The sequence below is a fragment of the Homo sapiens genome, chromosome 1 (genome assembly GCF_000001405.40).
Source record: "Homo sapiens chromosome 1, GRCh38.p14 Primary Assembly".
NCBI lineage: Eukaryota > Metazoa > Chordata > Mammalia > Primates > Hominidae > Homo > Homo sapiens.
In genome coordinates, this window is record NC_000001.11 from 32,209,089 (window position 1) to 32,228,634 (window position 19,546).

The following is a 19,546-nucleotide window of genomic DNA, read 5'->3' on the forward strand; positions in this document are numbered from 1 at the left end:
ACACTATGGCAGGTGGCAGTCCAGCAGCCAAGAGGGTAGTGGTGTACCGGAATGGGGACCCATTCTTCCCAGGCTCCCAGCTGGTGGTGACTCAACGCCGCTTCCCCACCATGGAGGCCTTCCTCTGCGAGGTGACATCAGCTGTGCAGGCCCCACTGGCTGTGCGTGCCCTCTACACACCTTGTCATGGCCACCCTGTCACCAACCTGGCAGACTTGAAGAACAGAGGGCAGTATGTGGCCGCTGGATTTGAACGATTCCACAAGCTCCAGTGAGTGGGCTGGGGCTGGTCAAACAGCCTAGCAAGGGAGGTAACGGCAAGAGCGTGTATTCAGTACCTACCATGTATGTACCAGCATGTTACTGGTACTTACTGAACTCTATGTAGGGGGGGTGGTTTTGCCTCCATTAGAAAGGGAAAACAGACAGAAAACCTGCCTAAAAGTACATAACAAATAGTTGAACTGAAATTCAAATAGAATTCTGTGTGTTACTAATGTTTATGCCCATCACAGCCAAGATCAGCCTGTGGGAAGACCACTCTCCCACAGGGTGAGCCCCTTTTTCCAAAAGCTCTTCTTGCTTGGACCCCCTATCACTGAACACTCTAAATCCACCCATCCATTCCTCCCCACTGTGCATAGGCATCCCAGACTCTCCCGTTAGGCTAGGGCCATCCTCTGTTGCAGGAGGAGACTGTCTCCCAGGGTGGGAGAAGAATTTGAGTACCTGAGTCTCTGACTCATGTCTGGCTTCCAGGTCCTACTCTTAGCTCTCAGCTGAGGTTGCTTACTATAATGTAAGGATCAAGAGGGAGTAAGTGGCTGGGCACGGTGGTTCACGCCTGTAATCCTAACACTTTGGGAGGCCAAGGCGGGTGGATCACCTGAGGTCAGGTGTTCGAGACCAGCCTGGCCAACATGGCGAAACTCTGTCTCTACTAAAAATACAAAAATTGGCCAGGCACGATGGCTCACACCTGTAATCCCGGCACTTTGGAAGGCCAAGGCGGGCAGATCACCTGAGGTCAGGAGCTCAAGACCAGCCTGACCAACATGGAGAAACCCCATCTCTACTAAAACTACAACATTAGCTGAGCGTAGTGGCGCATGTCTGTAATCCCAGCTGCTCGGGTGGCTGAGGCAGGAGAATCGCTTGAACCTGGAGGCAGAGGTTGCAGTGAGCCGAGATCGTGCCACTGCACTCCAGCCTGGGCAATAAGAGTGAAACTCCATCTAAAAAAAAAAAAAAAAAAAAAAATCAGCCAGGCCTGGTAGCACGTGCCTATAATCACAGCTACTCAGGAGGCTGAGGCAGAAGAATCGCTTGAACCCGTGAGGCGGAGGTTGCAGTGAGCTGAGATCGCACAACTGCACTCCAGCCTGGGGGACAGAGTGAGACTCTGTCTCAAAAAGAAAAAAAAAGAGAAAAAAAGAAAAAAAAGGCCAGAGGAGGGAAGCTAGGTAGACTTAGAATCTAGGCTTCATTCCTTGTGTGACTTTGGGCAAGTCACTTAATTTCTTGGAATCTCATACAAAATGGAGATAAAACGACCTATCTCATGAATGAGAATATTCTTGGGATACAGCAGGATGCATAATGCACTAGTTTCTAGTTTCTCTTGACTTTTTTTTTTTTTGAGACAGGGTCTTGCTCTGTCACCCAGGCCGGAGTGCAGTGCACTGGCGCGATCATGGCTCACTGCAGCCTCGAACTCCTGAGCTCACGCAATCCTCCTGCCTCAGCCTCCCAAGTAGCTGGGGCCACAGGTGCATGCCACCATGCCTGGCTAATTTTTTTGTTTTTTGGTAGCAATGAGGTTGCCCAGGCTGGTCTCAAACTCCTGGGCTCAAGTGATCCTCCTGCCTCAGCCTCCCAAAGAGCTGGGATTACAGGCGTGAGCTGCCATGCCCAGCCTTCTTGACCTTTAATCTCATGGTTAGTACTGAGACCCCAGTCTGGATTTCCAGACTTACTCAGCACTTACCCAGACAGCACTTGAGCACTCAAGGGGTCCTAGGGCAGGTTCAGCTGCCAATATCTTGTTTCTGGACTGAGATGATTGCCACTATTCCATGGGGAGGGATATCTGGTGAGCTGCGCCCCAACCCAACACTGACATCTGCCAGGCTATTGAGGCCTCAGTCTCCACAAGATGACCTGTGATCTATCTGTCCTTTCAGCTATTTACCCCATAGAGGGAAGGACCCAGGTGGGAAGAGCTGCAGACTACAAGTGAGTCCCGGGGAACCTGTGCCCCAGCCCCTCTGTCTTCCCACTCCTCCTGGAACTGCCCCCAATTTGGTCTGGGAAGCCAGGGAAGCAGCAGGATCTGCCAGTTCCAGGGGGGTACTTTGGAGCCAGCTACTATCTTTCCTGGGGCGTGGGATTTCAAGACACTATTTCTTGCTTCTGTCGCAGCCTTTAACTCCACACTGGGGTCCCCAAAGGAAAGAGAAAGATGTGAAACACAGATTGGGGGAGGGGGTGGTTAGAATGTGACTTAGGGAACATCTAAGCACCGTTTGGTGAAAGGTGTAAACTGTCTTACTCCTCCTCGCCCCCTTCCTGCCCCAGTCTGGTTCCGGCCCCCTCACTCCACACCTTGGATGGGCCCACCCCTAACCAAAGGCCCCAACTCTCCTGATTTGGAGGCCTGACATGGGTTTCAGGGTCCTCCCGTGACTCGCCACTTGTGTGATGGGGCCATTGGACGGCAGCTGCCTGCAGGTGCTCCCAGCTATATCCAGTGAGTGCCAGTGTGAGGGAGCAGGGGTGTTGATGTTTGTTTTAGTAAGGCCAAGAAAATGGTGTTGGGTTTGTTCTAGGAGCCTCTGGTTACTGTTGGGAATGTAGAAGTCCAGCATGCTTGATGGGTGAAGAGAGACCAGTGTTATGGTTATTGCTGGCCCTGTGCCACCCTTCCCCTCACATGTAGGGACTCCTGGGGACACTCCCCCTTACCAGGCTTTTTGTCTCAGTGTGTTCAGGAATGGGGACCTGGTAAGTCCCCCATTTAGTCTGAAGCTGTCCCAGGCTGCCAGCCAGGACTGGGAAACTGTGTTGAAGCTCCTGACTGAGAAGGTCAAGTTGCAGAGTGGGGCTGTGTGCAAGTGAGTATGGGGACTGCGAGGGCCCAAAAGTCCCCAAAGAGAGCCTCGCCACTGGCTTCAGCTGTGGCTGAGGATGAAGAGGCAAAAGGAAAGCATGTTCCCCCACATGGGACTTCCCCCTATGCCACTGGGAGAGGGCCCTCTGCCCAGCCCTCAGAGGCAGGGTAGAGCCTGGGTGCCTAGAGGCCAGAGGGCACCTTGGAATAGCTGCACCCACCCCTTCAGTCTGCTGAATGTGAAGAAGCATCGAGTCTACCAGCCCTTATCCTCCTCACCTCTCTCTCCCAGACTCTGCACCCTAGAGGGGCTCCCACTGTCAGCAGGGAAGGAGCTGGTAACTGGCCATTACTATGTGGCTGTCGGAGAGGATGAGTTCAAGGACCTTCCCTATCTGGAGCTGCTGGTGCCCAGCCCCTCCCTGCCCAGGGGCTGCTGGTATGTATGTGGGAGGTGGAGCGGTAACAGGCCGGGCAGAGGAAGCCACCCTCTGGGTCTGTGTGCTTTGACTCTATGCCCTCTGCCCACTACAAGCCTTTCCTTTTGTCATTGTAGGCAACCTCCAGGCTCGAAGTCTAGGCCCCACAGGCAGGGGGTAGGTGACGCAGGGGACAATGAGGGGTGGGAAGAAGGGGAGTGACTGGCTGACAACTCTTCTGGCACAGGCTCTGACCTTATTTCACTGCATCCTCTCTTTTTTCTTTTTCTTTGAGACAGAGTCTTGCTCTGTAGTCCAGGCTGGAGTGCAGTGGCAGGATCTTGGCTCACTGCAACCTCCGCCTCCCAGGTCCCGGTTCAAGCAATTCTCCTGCCTCAGCCTCCTGAGTAGCTGGGATTATGGGCACGCTCCACCATATCCAGCTAATTTTGTATATTTTTAGTAGAGATGGGGTTTCACCATGTTGGCCAGGCTGGTCTTGAACTCCTGACCTTGTGATCTGCCCGCCTCAGCCTCCCAAAGTGCTGGGATTACAGGCGTGAGCCACCGTGCCCGGCCTCCTTTTTTCTTTTAAATATAGAGATGAGTCTCACGATATTGCGAAGGCTGGTCTTGAACTCCTGGGCTCAAGCAATCCTCCCACCTTGGCCTCCCAAAGTGCTGTGATTACACTATGCCCAGCCTGCATCCTCTTAATAATTTTTTTTTTTTTTTTTGAGACGGAGTTTCACTCTTGTTGCTCAGGCTGGAGTGCAATAGCACAATCTCAGCTCACTGCAACCTCCACCTTCTGGGTTCAAGTGATTCTCCTGCCTCAGCCTCCCGAGTAGCTGGGATTACAGGTATGTGCCACCACACCCGGCTAATTTTTTTTTTTTTTTTTTTTTTTGAGATGGAGTCTCGCTCTGTTGCCCAGGCTGGAATGCAGTGGCGCAATCTTGGCTCACTGCCAGCTCCGCCTCCCGGGTTCATGCCATTCTCCTGCCTCAGCCTCCCGAGCAGCTGGGACTACAGGCACCCACCACCATGCCCGGTTAATTTTTTTTGTATTTTTAGTAGAGACGGGGTTTCACCGTGTTAGCCAGGATGGTCTCGATCTCCTGACCTCGTGATCAGCCCACCTCAGCCTCCCAAAGTGCTGGGATTACAGGCGTGAGCCACCGCGCTCAGCCACACCCGGCTAATTTTTTTAATTTTTAGTAGAGACAGGGTTTCTCCATGTTGGTCAGGCTGGTCTCAAACTCCCTCAGGTGATCTGCCCACCTCAGCCTCCCAAAGTGCTGGGATTACAGTCGTGAGCCACCTCGCCTGGCCACTCTTAATAATCTTGTGAAAGAAAGATTATCCCCATTTTCCAGAGGTGGAAACTGAAGCTGAAAAGTGAAGTGGGCCTTGGGCACGATGGCTCACACGTGTAATCCCAGCACTTTGGGAGGCTGAGGAGAGTGAATTACCTGAGGTCAGGAGTTCAAGACCAGCCTGGCCAACATGGTAAAACCCCATCTCTACTAAAAGTACAAAAAAATTAGCTGGGCATGGTGGTGGGTGCTTGTAGTCCCAGCTACTTGGGAGGCTGAGGCAGGAGAATCACTTGAACCTGGGAGGCGGAGGTTGTGGTGAGCTGAGATCACACCACTGCACTCCAGCCTGGGTGAGAGAGTAAGACTCAAGTCTCAAAAAAAAAAAAAAAAAAAAAAAAAGTGAAGTGATTTGTTCAGGGTGACAGAGTTATTGAGTGGCAGGGGCCAGACCAGAATTCTCATCTGATTTGCAGGACTTAATACCTTCTTGCTAGGTTGGACGCTGGGAGAGAGAATTGGTATATTTGGCACAGCAGGGTCCAAGGGAACTTATATTATCCAGCTCTAAGCCCTCCCAAGAAATGAGCCAGTGAGCATGGGGCATGGTGGTGGGGGTGGGGAAGCACAGTCTGGTTTCACTGGGCATCGAGGAGTGCCAGGCATCTACTGCTCTGTCCCTGGATAAGTCAGGCTGGTGGGAAGAGGCAGCAAGGAGGGAGGACGTACTTTGTGAAGACAGACGGTGTCTCCTCTGCCATGTTCCTGCAGGCGTCAGGGGCTCTCTGAAGCCTGAACTGGGGAGTAGGAAAGGTAAGAATGGCCAGCAATCAGGGTCCAAGCCCAGTGTCCCTTCTCTAGGCCCAAGGCCACAGGGCCCAGGTAACCCAGCCCTCTCCAAAGGAACCAGACCGAATTAAGCCATCTGCTTTCTATGCCAGACCCCAGCAGACCATTCAGCCAAGAAGCAAGCTCCCCACACTCTCATTCCCATCAGGTGAGGGGTCCCTGGGGCTCAGGCCCTTCTCAGCTGCCCTTTGACAGTGACATAGGTTGGTCCCTGCTGTTGTTGGGGATGTCCATGGGAGCAGAATGCTCAGACACAAAGCCGGCACTGGAAAAAAAAAAAAAAGATAAAGGAGTCTGAACCTACTGTGGCTCAGGAGACTGCCCGTAAAAAAAAAAAAAGCTGGTACTGACCTCATCATAACTGTCTCCAGCTGCCCCCGTCTGTATATCCTGTCCCTTCTTCACAGGGCCTCATCACATGAAAAGAAGCACCTGGAAAGGGCAGTGCTTAAAGCGATAAGACTTCAGGGGTGGGATATAGAGGGGATGGGGGTGGGACCAAAGGCCCACCTCTCACTTCCTTGCCATCCTGGGAGGTGGTGGGGAATGCAGAACCAGGTTCAGGGGAGGGAAAGGGGCTAGCATGAAGGTCCAGGGCAGGAATGCTGAGGGCTCTTCAGCCTGGGCATCACCCAGTGCTGCCTCCCCTCTTTAGGAGTTATAGGAGTATATGGAGCTCCCCACCGAAGGAAGGAGACAGCGGGGGCCCTGGAAGTAGCAGATGATGAAGACACTCAGACAGAGGAGCCCTTGGATCAGGTAAGCTGTTGGATCAGGAAACAGTATGTTGGGGTGGGAGGAGCTCTGAGCTGGAAACTGGCAGCCTTGGGCCCCAGGAACAGTTCTCCTCCCTTGTGATTGAAAGTAAATGATCTCCTAACTTCCTACCTTGTTAAATGAGGAAGCAGTTCCTAATTTCCAGTTTCTTCCTTCCTTGGGGTTGGGGACCTCCTGGCTGAGAGCTGGAGGCTGGCCATACTCACGGCTCCATTCTGTATGGCCTTCCACCTCCTGCAGAGGGCAGCACAGATAGTGGAAGAGGCCTTGTCCCTGGAAAACCAGCCTGGGGCTGGGGCTGCTATCTCAGCCTCAGCCCCAGCTCTGCCATCTTGAGAGCCAGCAGCTCCAGAGGGCAACTGGGGACCACTACTCTGGCCACCTTTTGTCCTTAGCCTCCAGCAGCTTGTTCCTCAGGAGCCAGCACCTCCGCTGGGCTCACAGGGTACACTGCGGCCTCCTCAGCCCTCCCCGTTCTCCTGCTCCTAAACCCACAGCCCAGCCTTCCCTTCCTCTGAGCAGAGCAGCCCTGGCTGTGGGGGCTATTTCCTTATGGGATTCTCTGGCCAGAGAAAGGAGTAGCTGACTAAGCCTGGGAGAGGGTTTGTCACAATAAAAGAATACTTACTAACCTCTTGTCTGTTTACCATAGATTTATTGACAGCTACTACTCGCCAGGTGTGCTGGAGTCAGGTGGGGCTGGGGCTCACAGCTCTCTACCTGTTTAAGAGGGGCTGGCAGTGAGGATTTCTGCCTACCTCATGGGTGGGGCAGGCAAGGCTAATAGACAGCTCATTTCCTGCATCTGCCACTCCGACGCACCTTCTTCCCTCGGTTCCACCCCTCATTCAGCCAAAGCGCTCTGACTGAGTCCCAGAGGCCTCCCGTTTGCATTTCTGGCTCAAAGTCTGCAGCTGGCCCTTTCCATGCAGCTGGAGTTCTGCAGTCCATGGAACCTGCCACCATGATAGTCCAGATCAGGCCACAGTAATGGTGGCTGGGCTGGGAGCCTGAGATGTTAGCAGGAAGAGAGCTGCTGGGGCAGAAAGGTTGCTGAGGGTGAGCGTAGAGTCTCCTGTGCTAAATCCCCGCAGCTGAACAGCACTTGAAGGTTACAAAACTCTTTCACTCTTGTTCTCTTATTGTGATCCATGAGGTAGCTGTTATCCCCATAAGAGAGGAGGAAGCTAAGGCCAGAGAGGGGAAGTGCTAGGTCCATCCGCTCACTGCCAGCACTTCATGGCCCAGGGGCTTCCTGGAGGCAGCAGAGCTGGAAGTGGGTTCGGCCCACTCAAAGGGTAGACTGTTGCCCCTGGGTCTTACTCACTGAGCTTGTGATGCAGAGTGAAATTCCTATCACGGTGAGCACCATGCCAGCAACTGCTCCTGGGATAATAGGCAGAAATCAGGAGGGTCTGAGCTCAGCCATGCCAGTAGGAGCTGGTACAGGGCTGGAGGAAGGGCTCAGATGGGGTCTGGTCTTCAATCCCAAACCCCAGCCTCTGTCTTTCTCCAGACTGTCCAGGGGAAGGGAACTCTGATGGCCACAAGGAAGCAAAACAGCTGCAGAGGAAAGGGCAGGATGGGAAAAGGCCGTGTCCTCACCCACTCTGGGGAGATGGGTTCTGGGAAGGAACTAACACAGGTATGTCGAGATCCACAGAGCTGCGTCCCGCACTCGCAGTAGTCTAACTTACGTTTTCCACCAATATCTTCTCCAAGGGCCTTCCCAACAATCAGTGTGAAGATGATAGCCAGAGAGTTACAGATGGGCACAGCCAGGGTCAGATCTGGGTGGTCAGAATGAAAAGAATGCCTGAGATGCAACAAATGCCTTTCTAGGCACAAAACACTTCCATCATCATCATTTCATACCTTTAAAAAAGGTATCAAAACCCCATCTTCCAGATGAAGTCACAGCAAATCTCAGGACTCAAACCCACATCTCCTGACTCCACGTTCAGTGCTTCCCAGGATTCCAGCATGAAGACCTGAACTCTGAGGTCTGGGACCAGCCTGGTTTGATAATGAGAATGAGGTCTTTGCACTCAAAGAGAACTCGTGAGATCTCAAGGACATCTGGACGGACAGGCAGGCACCCAAATCCCAAAGGATGAGTAGAGAGTCAGGTAACACCAAGCACAGCCACCATTTATTAAGCACATACCATGGCCTAGGTGCTTTGTGTACATATCTCAGTTTTCACAACACTGCAAGAAGGGGATTATCACCATTTTGCGTAAAAGAAACAAAGGCTCAAAGAAGTCACATAAACTAAGGCAAGTTGAGGATTTAAACCAAGGCTTGCCTGACTCCAAAGCCTGCGCCGTTATTAAACTGTGGATATAGACAGAGCAGAACATCAGATGAAGCACATTTTGTTTCTGTTTCAGCCCAAGCTCAGGCCTTATGGAGTTAAAAATAAAAAGTGTCAGAAGGAAGGAGCAGGACCTGTTCAGGACATTGGGCTGGACCTGTGGTGTGGGTAGAGGGCATCATAGCCCAGGATCTGTTCCTTAATTTTGAAGTTCCAAGGGGCTGACTGCCAATAAGCAAACTTGAAAAAGAGTAATGGAGTTGGCTGGGTGCAGGGTGGCTCACGCCTGTAATCCCAGCACTTTGGGAGGCTGAGGCGGGCGGATCACCTGAGGTCAGGAGTTCAAGACCAGCTTGGCCAACATGGTGAAACCCCGTCTCTACTAAAAATACCAAAAATTAGCCAGGCATAGTGGCGGACGCCTGTAATCCCAGCTACTCAGGAGGCTGAGACAGGAGAATCGCTTGAACCCAGGAGGCAGAGGTTGCACTGAGCCAAGATCACACCACTGTACTCCAGCCTGAGAAACAAGAGTGAAACTCTGTCTCAAAAAAAAAAGAAAAAGACTAATGGAGTTAACTTAAAATTTGTTGAGGGTAGATCTCCTGTTAAGTGTTCTTATCACATCAAAAAAAGAGCCACAGCCAGGCGCAGTGGCTCATGCCTGTAATCCCAACATTTTGGAAGGCTGAGACGGGCGGATCACCTGAGGTTGGGAGTTAGAGACCAGCGTGACCAACATGGAGAAACCCCGTCTCTACTGAAAATACAAAATTAGGCTGGGTGTGGTGGCTCACGCCTGTAATCCCAGCACTTTGGGAGGCCGAGGCGGGTGGATCATTTGAGGTCAGGAGTTCAAGACCAGCCTGGCCAACATTGTGAAACCCCGTCTCTACTAAAAATACAAAAATTAGCCAGGCATGGTGGTGCATGCCTGTAGTCCCAGCTACTTGGGAGGCCGAGGCAGGAGAATTGCTTGAACCTGGTAGGCAGAGGTTGCAGTGACCAGAGATTGCACCACTGCACTCCAGCCTGGGTGACACAGCAAGGCTCCATCTCAAAAAACAAAAACAAAAGAACAAAATTAGCCAGGCGTGGTGGCACATGCCCATAATCCCAGCTAGTGGGGAGGCTAAGGAAGGAGAGTCACTTGAACCTGGGAGGCGGAGGTTGCAGTGAGCCAAGATCGCACCATTGCACTCCAGCTTGGGCAACAAGAGCGAAATGCCGTCTCAAAAAAAAAAAAAAAAAGCACCACATACACATAAAAAAGACCAATGGACGAATCAGCTGAGTTATCCATGGTAACAAGACTCAACTGCAGACCAGATGTTCACACTGGCTCCTCAGCAAATTCTTTCCCAGCACTCCCAGGGCTCGCCTGTGTGAGGCAAAGGAGCAAACTGTCCTGCTCCTCATCCCCTGGGAGGCCCCAGCATGGAGGCATTACCCATCTAAGAAATTGATACAACCCCACTTACAAAGAGCTGCTTTCTTTTTTGGTTGTTTTTCGTTTTTGTTGTTGTTGTTTTGAGACAGGGTCTCTCTCTGTTGCTCAGGCTGGAGTGCAGTGGTGAGGTCAAGGCTCACTGCAGCCTCAACCTCCTGAGCTCAAGCGATCCTCCCACCTCAGCCTCCTGAGCAGCTAGGACTACAGGCACACACCACCAAGCCCAGTTAATTTTCGTATTTTTGTTGTTGTTGTTGCCTAGGGTGATCTCTAGGCTCAGGTTATCTGCCCACCTCAGCCTCCAAAAGTGCTGGAATTATAGGCCTGAGCCACTGTGCCCTGCCCAGAGCTGCCTTCTTAAGTTTACATACCTTACAAGGAGTGTCATGGCTGCTAAGGTCTGGTTTGCAACAGTAGATGGAAGAAGGATGCAGCACGGTGCAGTGGAAAGTGAGGGCATTGGAGTGAGGCAGATCTGAGTTTCCCTTGCAATCTTGGTTAGGATATTCAAACACTCAACCTGTTTCCCCGCATGTAAAATAGGGGTCACAGTATACCATTTCTTTTGTTGGGTTGTCGTAAGATGAACTGTGATAATGCATGGATAGTCCCTGGCTGAAGTGGATGCTTCATAAATAGTTATTACTGTTCTGGTTATTAGAAAGGATGGATATTAAAGGATACAGGCAGAAAGGGTAATGAGATAAAAAGAACCTAAAACTGCAATTTGATTAAAACTTGGTGAATGGCTACCTGTAGTCAGCTGGTCAAGGGTTCAGCATTCTTCCACAGCAGTGAATGCATGAGGCCAGAGGTTTTCAAACTCTTTAAATAAGTGCATATTATTTCTTTCTTTCTGTTTTTGAGACAGAGTCTCGCTCTGTTGCCCAGGGACTGGAGTGCAGTGGCATGATCTCAGCTCACTGCAACCTCCGCCTCCCAGGTTCAAGCCATTCTCGCGCCTCAGCCTCCCAAGTAGCTGGGACTACAGGCACACACCACCACACCCAACTAATTTTGTTATTTTTAGTAGAGACGGGGTTTCAGCATGTTGGCCAGACTGGTCTCGAACTCCTGACCTCAAATGATCTGCCCTCCTTGGCCTCCCAAAGTGCTGGGATTACAGGCGTGAGTCACCATGCCCAGTCGAGCATAAACTTTTAATATATGGCTTCAAATCCTTCTGCACTGACATCCTGTGGGACTTGAGAGGTGAAATTGCACAAAGTTTTGCAACTTCATTTTCTAAGATAATCATATCTGCTTTACAGAGTCATGATTGGAATTAAATAATGTGTAAGACTAGTGCAGTATCTGACGTAGTAGAGGGCAGTCACAAATGTCAAGAGAAAGGAAATTTATGTATATGGAGCTCTGACTGTGTGCCAGGCACTCTCCTAGATGTTTCCCATTCATTAAATTTAATCCTCACAATGCTATGAAGCCAACTATATAAAACCAAGGCTCAAATGGGTGACTTGCTCATGGTCAGGTAGGTAGCACACAGTGGAAGCAAGAATGTGAAAGCCAGCACTTGGCACAGCAAAATGAACCTTCCTTCTTCCTCCGCTGGTCACACATGACTGCCAGGCTTCAAACCAACTCCAGTGCCTAGCAACATACTCATAACCAGCACACTGTGCCCCTCTTGTTCAGAGAAGAGGATAGTAAGAGGGAACTAGAGCTAGTCAGCCCTCTCTCACTGATGGGAATGAGGTGTTTCAAGCTCCACCCCGCCCCCCCCAATCACTCTTCCAGGTGGCCTCAAACACTAAGCAGAACAGTTCCAAGCCAGGACCCACCTGTCGATGCCAAGGTGAGGTAATAGAGAAGGGATCCACACTGGTTGAGGAGAAAGGGCATCAGGTACTGGAAAGAGGAGAAACCTGCAGTCAGTGTGATGGCCTGACTGAGCAGCACTGCCTTCTTTGAGCTCCTAGCGAATGTCTTTCCTTGGAGGGAGGCAGGGTTATAAGGACCCAGAGAACACTAATCCCTCTAAGGAGGATCCTTCCAGGGCAAAGAGGGAAACAGACTGAAGTCTGTGCCTTTGCTCAAACTACCCTCTCCCTCACCTCTGCTAGTTCCCATCCTGCAAGGCCTTGAAGCCAATGTCAGCCCCTCCAGGAAGCCTTCCCCAAGTCCTCCAGCTCCAGCCTTCCTCCTCTGAACTCCTCCCCTGCAGGGCCAATTTGAGCCCCAAGCCCTCCCTCTGGAAAGGCTCACAAATGTTGCCTTATGTAACTGAAGGAATCACAATAAAATGTGAATAATGGCAGCCATAGATTGAGCACTTACTATGTTCTAGGCCTAATGCTAAGTGCTCTACGTATCTCACCTAATTCCTGCAACTGACCTATCAGATGGTTATTATTATAATCGCCATTTACAGATGATGAAACTGAGGCTCAAGGACAACTGACTTTTCCGAGAATTTCTAGTGAGTAAGTGGTGGGGCTGACCCAGACCTGTTTGACTCCAAAGACCAAATTCTTGGCGGCAACTCCACCGAGAGAGGGGCCTTTCACAGAGACGCACCTCAGTATTCAAGAAGAGGGTCTTCATCTCCTGTAGCAACTGCTGGGCCCAGGTCGGCTCATGAACCCGCTGCAGGCCGGCGGAGGCCCGCTTCAGCAGCGGCTGCGTGCCACCCCACAGAGCGGCCACCAGCACCAGAGCCAACACCTGCCCTGAATGCAGACGAGTGAGTCACCCTGACCCCCACCCCAAACGGCCGCCCACCCCGCCCTCTCCTGGCCTTCTAGCCCCAGCTAGCCGCCCCCACTTCCCTCCTTCGCTCTCTTCGCCTCGGCTGCGACTGGCGGCTAAGGCAGGCCCAGGGAAGCTAGGGAGATGAATCCAGGAGTCCGGCCTCTGGGGTTGTAGCAGGGGTCGGGGTTAGAGGGTGGATGTGGAGCAGGAAATGAATTCGAGGCGAGGGTCGGGAAATCCATGGAAGGGCGGGGCCGGCTACCTACCCAGAGACGCCGCCATGGCAACGCCGCTGTCTTCTACTTCCGGGAACGAAGGGGCGGAGACCCATAATCCGGAAGTGACCTCGAAACCTTTTCCGGTCTTACTCACGTTGCGGCCTTCCTCGCGTCACAGCCGGGATGGTGAGTTTCAGAGTTAGGGGTATTGCAGTGGGGGTCCTGGGCTGAGGCTGGGGCCCAATTCCGAGCACTGACGTTACTGTCTTGTCCCCACAGAAGCCGATCCTACTGCAGGGCCATGAGCGGTCCATTACGCAGATTAAGTATAACCGCGAAGGAGACCTCCTCTTTACTGTGGCCAAGGACCCTGTGAGTGTTGGCTGGAGGGGGTCCGGGAGGGGCGGGATCCTTCTGCCAGGACGATGGGTGGACACGCCAGTTTTGCCGTTAGCGGGGAACCAAAGAGCAGCCCATTGTGAGAAGTAGGGAGAGGCCATGCCGGGGGTAGGTTGGCGAAAGTATTCTACCGGGAAAGGTGGGGAAGAACTCTATTGGCCGAGTGCGGTGGCTCACGCCTGTAATCCCAGCACTTTGAGAGGCCGAGGTGGGAGGGTCGCTTGAGCCCAGGAGTTGGAGACCAGCCTGAGCAACGTAGTAAGACCCATCTCTACACACAAAAAAATTAGCCTGACATGGTGGCCTCGCGCCTGTGGTCTCAGCTACTTCGGAGTCTGAAACGAGAGGATCGCTTGAGCGCGGTGAGCTGAGATCGTGCCACTGCACTCCAAGAAAAGCAAGAGACCACTGTGGAAAGGGGATAAAGATGAGGGTCAGCTTGCCCAGAGAACGGGATGCGACCTTTAGGGATAATCTAATCTTTCTACCAGGATAGGTGCAGGCTGTGTTATTCAGACACAGGGAACTTAATGAGGGTGTCTCTAGTCTCATTTTAAGTCAATCCCATCCTGCTACTCAATGCCAAACAATCCCTCATGATACTGCCTTTTGAGGCACCTGGCCATTTTATTTTATTTTTTCTTGAGACGGAGTCTCGCTCTGTCGCCTAGGCTGGAGTGCAGTGGCGCGATCTCGACTCACTGCAACCTCTGCCTCCCAGGTTCAAGCGATTCTCCTGCCTCAACCTCCCTAGTAGCTGGGACTACAGGCTCGTGCCACCATGCCCAGCTAATTTTTTGTATCTTTAGTAGAGATGGGGTTTCACCATGTTGGACAGGCTTGTCTTGAACTCCTGACCTCAGGTGATCCGCCTGCCTCGGCCTCCCAAAGTGCTAGGATTACAGGCATGAGTCACCACACCCGGCCTGGCCATTTTCAAGATGAGAAAACTGAAGTTCAGAGGAGAGAAGCACTGTATTTGAGATCATATAGTGAGACAGTGGCAGAGCAGGCACCAGAACCCAGACTTCCTTACTACCAGCTGCTCCCACTTGGATAAGACATCAGAGATACTGTTTTTCTGGACTGGAGCTCAACTTGGCCTTTTATTCTTTGGAGCCGTTGGGAGTCCCAGGAGAGCTGGAGCTAACAAATGAGGATGCCTTTACAAGCCGCCTGACTCCTCTGTTGCTTCCCTTCAGGAAGGGAGGAGAATCCAGGAGTTGGTCTTTTTACCAGCTCCCTGCTGTTTCCCAAGAAATAAACAGAAGAGGGCAGAATCAGCCTTGCTACAGGCTGCTGAGGGTTCCTGGGGCAAAATAGGAAGCCATTGCTCTTACTGGGATGTGTACTATCCTGTGGTTTGACTTTTCCAGATCGTCAATGTATGGTACTCTGTGAATGGTGAGAGGCTGGGCACCTACATGGGCCATACCGGAGCTGTGTGGTGTGTGGACGCTGACTGTATCCTTATTTTGGGTCTGAGTCCGTGTTGCTAGGGTCTGTCAGCGATGGAGAGGCTGAGTTGGGAGTTGGGAGTTGGGGGTGCTGTTGAGGGCCTAGAGAACGATACCTCCTACTCCCTGGTCTCTTCACTGACTGAGGAAACATTCAGGACAAATTCCAGTTCTGGATAAGGAGGTAAGAGGGGTAGAAAGGCTCTTTGGGGCTGAACAGGGAGATGATTCACTTGGCATCCCAAGAGGACAAGGGCTCGGGTGAACTTCGTCATATTTCTTAACAACTCTTCAGGGGACACCAAGCATGTCCTCACTGGCTCAGCTGACAACAGCTGTCGTCTCTGGGACTGTGAAACAGGTAAGCTGGGTTCATTCACCTTTTTAGCAAATATTGAGGACCTACAGTGTACCTGTTTGAGTAAACAGGTCCTAGGAAAATAGAGATGAAATCCATAGATAGTTTCCAGTCTAGGGAATAAGAGACAAGAAAGATAGATGAGAAAATACACGCCATGGTAGAGGAAGCATAGATTAAGTTTTCTTTTTTTTTTTTTTTTTCTTTTTCTTATTTTGGAGACAGAGTCTCACTGTCACCCAGGCTGGAGAGCAATGGCACTATCTCGGCTCACTGCAACCTCTGTCTCCCGGGTTCAAGGGATTCTCCTGTCTCAGCCAGCCCCAGTAGCTGGGATTATAGGCGCACGCCACCATGCTTGGCTGATTTTTTTTTTTGAGACAGATTCTCTCGCTGTGTCACCCAGGCTGGAGTGCAGTGGCACAATCTTGGCTTACTGCAACCTCCGCCTCCCAGGTTCAAGTGATTCTCCTGCCTCAGCCTCCCAAATAGCTGGGATTACAGACATGCGCCATCACACCTGGCTAATTTTTGTATTTTTAGTAGAGACAGGGTTTCACCATGTTGGCCAGACTGGTCTCAAACTCCAGACCTCAGGTAATCCACCCACCTCGGCCTTCCAAAGTGCTGGGATTACAGGCATGAGCCACTGCACCTGGCCACCAGCTAATTTTTGTATTTTTAGTAGAGACAGGGTTTCACCATGTTGGCCAGGCTGGTCTCGAACTCCTCAGCTCAAGTGATCCACCCGCCTTGGCCTCCCAAAGTGCTGAGATTACAGGCACAAGCCACTGTGCCCAGCCTAAGCTGTTCTGTTTAGTGCCAGGTCTATGCTGGGTACTGGGGACATGGAGGGAAATCAGATCAGGTCTTTGCTGTGGAGAAGCACAGTCTGAGGGAGAGACAGATATATTGCAGTCTACGTATGAGTAGTGCCACATTAGCAGGATGTCTGAGGAAAGAGTCTAGGTAAGAAGTTAAAATACTTGGCCAGGTGTGGTGGCTCACGCCTGTAATCCCAGCACTTTGGGAGGTTGAGGCAGGTGGATCACCTGAGGTCAGGAGTGCAAGACCAGCCTGGCCAACATGGTGAAACCCCGTCTATTAAAAATACAAAAATGAGCCAGGCATGGTGGTGGGCACCTGTAATCCCATCGACTCAGGAGGCTGAGGCAGAAGAATCGCTTGAAAGGTTGCAGTGAGCCGAGATCACACCATCGCACAGCAGCCTGCAGGACAAGAGCGAAACTCCATCTCAAAAAAAAAAAGGCCGGGCGCGGTGGCTCACACCTGTAATCCCAGCACTTTGGGAGGCTGAGGCGGGCGGATCACGGGTCAGGAGATCAAGACCATCCTGGCTAACACGGTGAAATCCCGTCTCTACTAAAAATACAAAAAATTAGCGGGGCATGGTGGCAGGCGCCTGTAGTCCCAGCTACTTGGGAGGCTGAGGCAGGAGAATGGCGTGAACCCGGGAGGCGGAGCTTGCAGTGAGAGCCGAGATTGCACCACTGCACTCCAGCCTGGGCAACAGAGTGAAACTGTCTCAAAAAAGAAAAAAAAAAAGAAAAGTTAAAATACTTTTTAAGTTTGGGTCACTGGAGCAAGACAAACAGTGAGATGTGATGGTAGCATTCTCTAGAATGTCCTCCCTGCAATTGCAATGGATGGTGTAGCCCAGACTTTGCCTGACTCCAGGAAAGCAGCTGGCCCTTCTCAAGACCAATTCGGCTGTCCGGACCTGCGGTTTTGACTTTGGGGGCAACATCATCATGTTCTCCACGGACAAGCAGATGGGCTACCAGTGCTTTGTGAGCTTTTTTGACCTGCGGGATCCGAGCCAGATTGGTGAGGGCTGGGAATAGGGCTGGGGTTGAGGTAAAGGGTACAGTTCTAGAGCCCAGGGCCTAACATCTACTGCCCCACACAGACAACAATGAGCCCTACATGAAGATCCCTTGCAATGACTCTAAAATCACCAGTGCTGTTTGGGGACCCCTGGGGGAGTGCATCATCGCTGGCCATGAGAGTGGAGAGCTCAACCAGTATAGTGCCAAGGTAAGAGGCCACATGGGGCCTGAGCCTACCAGAATAATTTTTTTTTTTTTTTTTAAGATAGAGTCTCTCTCTGTTGCCCAGGCTGGAGTGCAGTGGCGCCATCTCGGCTCACTGCGACCTCCACCTCCCTGGTTCAAGCAATTCCCCTGCCTTAGCCTCCCGAGTAGCTGGGATTACAGGTGCATGCCACCGCACCTGGCTAATTTTTTTTGTATTTTTAGTAGAGACAGGGTTTCACCATGTTGGTCAGTCTGGTCACGAACTCCTGACCTCAGGCAGTCCACCGCTCGTGGCTTTTTTTTTTTTTTTTTTTTTTTTTTGAGACAGAGTATCACCCTGTCACCCAGGCTGGAGTGCAGTGGTACGATCTCGGCTCACTGCAACCTCCACCTCCTGGGTTCAAGCCATTCTCCTGCCTCAGCCTCTTGAGTAGCTGGGACTATAGGCACCTGCCACCATGCCTGGGTAATTTTTGTATTTTTAGTAGAGATGGGGTTTCTCCATGTTGGCCAGGCTGGTCTTGAATCCTGACCTCCTGACCTCAGATGATCCACCTGCCTCGGGTCCTGGTGATAGCACACTAGTTCAGAACAAGGGCAGGGCTGTATGCTGTGGCTCACATCTGTAATCCCAGTGCCTTTGGGGGCCAAGGCAGGAGGATCTCTTGAGCCCAGGGGTTGGGGCTGCAGTGAGCTATGATTGCACCACTGCACTCCAGCCTGGGTGACAGTGAGACCCTGTCTCTAAAAAAAAAAAAAAAAAAAAAAAAGTTAATAAAAAATTTTAAAAAGAGCAGAGGTGAGATTCAAATGTAGATTTCACCACTTTCTAGCTGTGTGATCTTGGGCAATTTACATGACTTCTCTGACCCTGTTTATCTGTAAAATGTTTCAAGGATCAAATGATATCACATGTTTGAAAAACTTGTCACAAAGTACTCAGGACATGTTAATAAGGATCACAGGCCGGGTGTGGTGACTCACACTTGTAATCCCAACACTTTGGGAGGCTGTGGCAGGATTGCTTGAGACCCGGAGATTGAGATCAGCCTGGGCAATATAGGAAGACCCTGTCTCTACAAAAAAAAATTAAAAATTAGCTGGGTGTGGTGGAGTGTGCCTTTGGTCCCAGGTACTCAGGATGTTGAGGCTGAAAGATTGCTTGAGTCTGGGAGATTGAGGCTGCAGTGAGCCATGATTGTGCCACTGTACTCCAGCCTGGGTGATAGAACAAGACCCTGTCTCAAAAAAATAATTAAGGATCACAAATGAGCATTTCCTTGCCACCACTGAGTATAATGCCCTGTATAATGCTGAGTATAATGCTGAACTCCTAGAACAAAGAAGTAAATCAGATGCAGTCCCTTCCCCCATGGGGAGACAGACTTGCAAACAGCTAGCACCTGAGTCAGATTGTGAATTGTGCCACCATAGAGGTCTCAGCCAAGTGTGGAAGGTGCACTCTCCCAGGGAGGTGGCGTGTACATTAAACCCTGGAGAATAAATGGAGCTTCAAGCAGGAAGGAAAGAACATCCCACAGGCAAAAGGAACAGCAAAGGCAAAGGCACAGAGTTAAGAAAGTATGGAGTCTTCAGAAACCCTTGGGGTGTGGTCTTGGGGACAGAGGACGGGGAATAGATTTTAAACGTCCTTCAGTGTGAGGAGGTAAAGAGTTTTGACTTTCCTCCAGGCAGTAGGGAATCTTTAAAGGGTTATCAATGGCCAGATTTTCCTTCCAACAGCTTTTGCAGTTTATGTTTGGAGAGTGAACCTGAACTAGCCAATAGGCATAGGATGTACATTACTGGACAGAGTCAAGGGATATTTAGGGGTGACTGATAGGATAGAGGGGGTGAGGAAAACACAAAGTCCATGCTGTCTCAGCTTTCATTTGGGTGCTTGGGTTTCTGGGGAGCTGAGATTAGTAGGGATTGGGCCCATTCAGTGTCACTCTTCTTCCTTCCCTAGTCTGGAGAGGTGTTGGTGAATGTTAAGGAGCACTCCCGGCAGATCAACGACATCCAGTTATCCAGGGACATGACCATGTTTGTGACCGCGTCCAAGGACAACACAGCCAAGGTGAGCCTGGGCAGCGGTCTGGCAG

General features: G+C 51.3%; 3 protein-coding genes across 15 annotated transcripts in view, besides 3 other annotated features; 2 read left to right on the top strand and 1 right to left on the bottom strand.

The window, feature by feature from the left end:
* DCDC2B (doublecortin domain containing 2B) lies at positions 1 to 7,104 on the top strand. Its single transcript, NM_001099434.2, has 9 exons — positions 1 to 271; positions 2,184 to 2,235; positions 2,673 to 2,749; positions 2,982 to 3,113; positions 3,402 to 3,548; positions 3,666 to 3,705; positions 5,709 to 5,844; positions 6,352 to 6,455; positions 6,714 to 7,104. Exons 1-9 carry the CDS (start codon positions 6 to 8, stop codon positions 6,807 to 6,809), a joined length of 1,050 nt encoding a protein of 349 aa, NP_001092904.1. The 5' UTR covers positions 1 to 5; the 3' UTR covers positions 6,810 to 7,104.
* On the bottom strand, positions 5,389 to 13,265 carry TMEM234 (transmembrane protein 234). Of its 11 annotated transcripts, NR_133636.2 has the most exons (11): positions 13,219 to 13,265; positions 12,779 to 12,930; positions 12,043 to 12,109; positions 8,349 to 8,489; positions 8,171 to 8,263; positions 7,801 to 7,859; positions 7,296 to 7,429; positions 7,106 to 7,193; positions 6,585 to 6,707; positions 6,048 to 6,128; positions 5,389 to 5,961 (listed from the first exon to the last, which is right to left on the bottom strand). NR_133636.2 is itself a non-coding variant. In XM_017001816.2 (9 exons), exons 1-7 carry the CDS (start codon positions 13,232 to 13,234, stop codon positions 6,452 to 6,454), a joined length of 519 nt encoding a protein of 172 aa, XP_016857305.1. In that variant the 5' UTR covers positions 13,235 to 13,265; the 3' UTR covers positions 5,389 to 5,961; positions 6,048 to 6,128; positions 6,381 to 6,451. The 11 variants fall into 11 exon arrangements, 8 of the variants coding, with proteins under 8 accessions (XP_016857305.1, XP_047281435.1, XP_047281439.1 ...); NR_133635.2 differs by lacking the exon at positions 8,349 to 8,489; XM_017001816.2 differs by lacking the exons at positions 7,106 to 7,193; positions 7,296 to 7,429; positions 8,349 to 8,489 and adding an exon at positions 6,381 to 6,460.
* Positions 6,657 to 7,856: an enhancer, noted in NCBI's record as "CDK7 strongly-dependent group 2 enhancer chr1:32681346-32682545 (GRCh37/hg19 assembly coordinates)". NCBI's record gives its function as "activates an origin of replication core promoter dependent on BRD2, BRD4, P300/CBP, MED14 and CDK7 cofactors, with strong dependence on CDK7, by STARR-seq in HCT116 cells {active_cell/tissue: HCT116}" and the evidence as "EXISTENCE:reporter gene assay evidence [ECO:0000049][PMID:35650434]".
* Positions 12,538 to 13,737: an enhancer, noted in NCBI's record as "BRD4-independent group 4 enhancer chr1:32687227-32688426 (GRCh37/hg19 assembly coordinates)". NCBI's record gives its function as "activates an origin of replication core promoter dependent on BRD2, P300/CBP, MED14 and CDK7 cofactors, and independent of BRD4, by STARR-seq in HCT116 cells {active_cell/tissue: HCT116}" and the evidence as "EXISTENCE:reporter gene assay evidence [ECO:0000049][PMID:35650434]".
* Positions 13,014 to 13,647: an enhancer, noted in NCBI's record as "H3K27ac hESC enhancer chr1:32687703-32688336 (GRCh37/hg19 assembly coordinates)". NCBI's record gives its function as "activates a minimal SCP1, AML or CMV promoter by ChIP-STARR-seq in naive and primed H9 embryonic stem cells {active_cell/tissue: H9 hESC(naive and primed)}" and the evidence as "EXISTENCE:reporter gene assay evidence [ECO:0000049][PMID:30033119]".
* Positions 13,319 to 19,546, top strand: part of EIF3I (eukaryotic translation initiation factor 3 subunit I) — a 13,764-nt gene continuing 7,536 nt past the window's right edge. For 2 of the 3 annotated variants that reach the window (NM_001394168.1, NM_003757.4), the window contains exons 1-7: positions 13,319 to 13,356; positions 13,450 to 13,542; positions 14,946 to 15,033; positions 15,322 to 15,387; positions 17,083 to 17,232; positions 17,315 to 17,442; positions 19,411 to 19,521. In NM_001394168.1, the coding sequence (NP_001381097.1) occupies positions 13,354 to 13,356; positions 13,450 to 13,542; positions 14,946 to 15,033; positions 15,322 to 15,387; positions 17,083 to 17,232; positions 17,315 to 17,442; positions 19,411 to 19,521 (639 nt within the window). In that variant the 5' untranslated portion in view covers positions 13,319 to 13,353. Of the gene's footprint in view, positions 13,357 to 13,449; positions 13,543 to 14,945; positions 15,034 to 15,321; positions 15,388 to 17,082; positions 17,233 to 17,314; positions 17,443 to 19,410; positions 19,522 to 19,546 lie in introns of those variants that run through there. The other variant, XM_024450518.2, reaches the window with a different exon arrangement.

Bases quoted from the DNA above. Each gene is read 5' to 3' on its own strand.
- DCDC2B (NM_001099434.2), top strand. From the start codon at position 6: ATGGCAGGTGGCAGTCCAGCAGCCAAGAGGGTAGTGGTGTACCGGAAT. The intron at 3,549-3,665 runs GTATGTATGTGG...TTGTCATTGTAG, and splicing joins TCCCTGCCCAGGGGCTGCTG to GCAACCTCCAGGCTCGAAGT. The intron at 5,845-6,351 runs GTGAGGGGTCCC...TCCCCTCTTTAG, and splicing joins CACACTCTCATTCCCATCAG to GAGTTATAGGAGTATATGGA.
- TMEM234 (XM_017001816.2), bottom strand. The intron at 12,110-12,778 runs GTGCGTCTCTGT...TCCTCTTTCCAG, and splicing joins CCCTCTTCTTGAATACTGAG to TACCTGATGCCCTTTCTCCT. The intron at 6,708-7,800 runs GTGAGTAAGACC...TGCCCTCTGCAG, and splicing joins CACTCTGCATCACAAGCTCA to GAGGTGGAAGGCCATACAGA.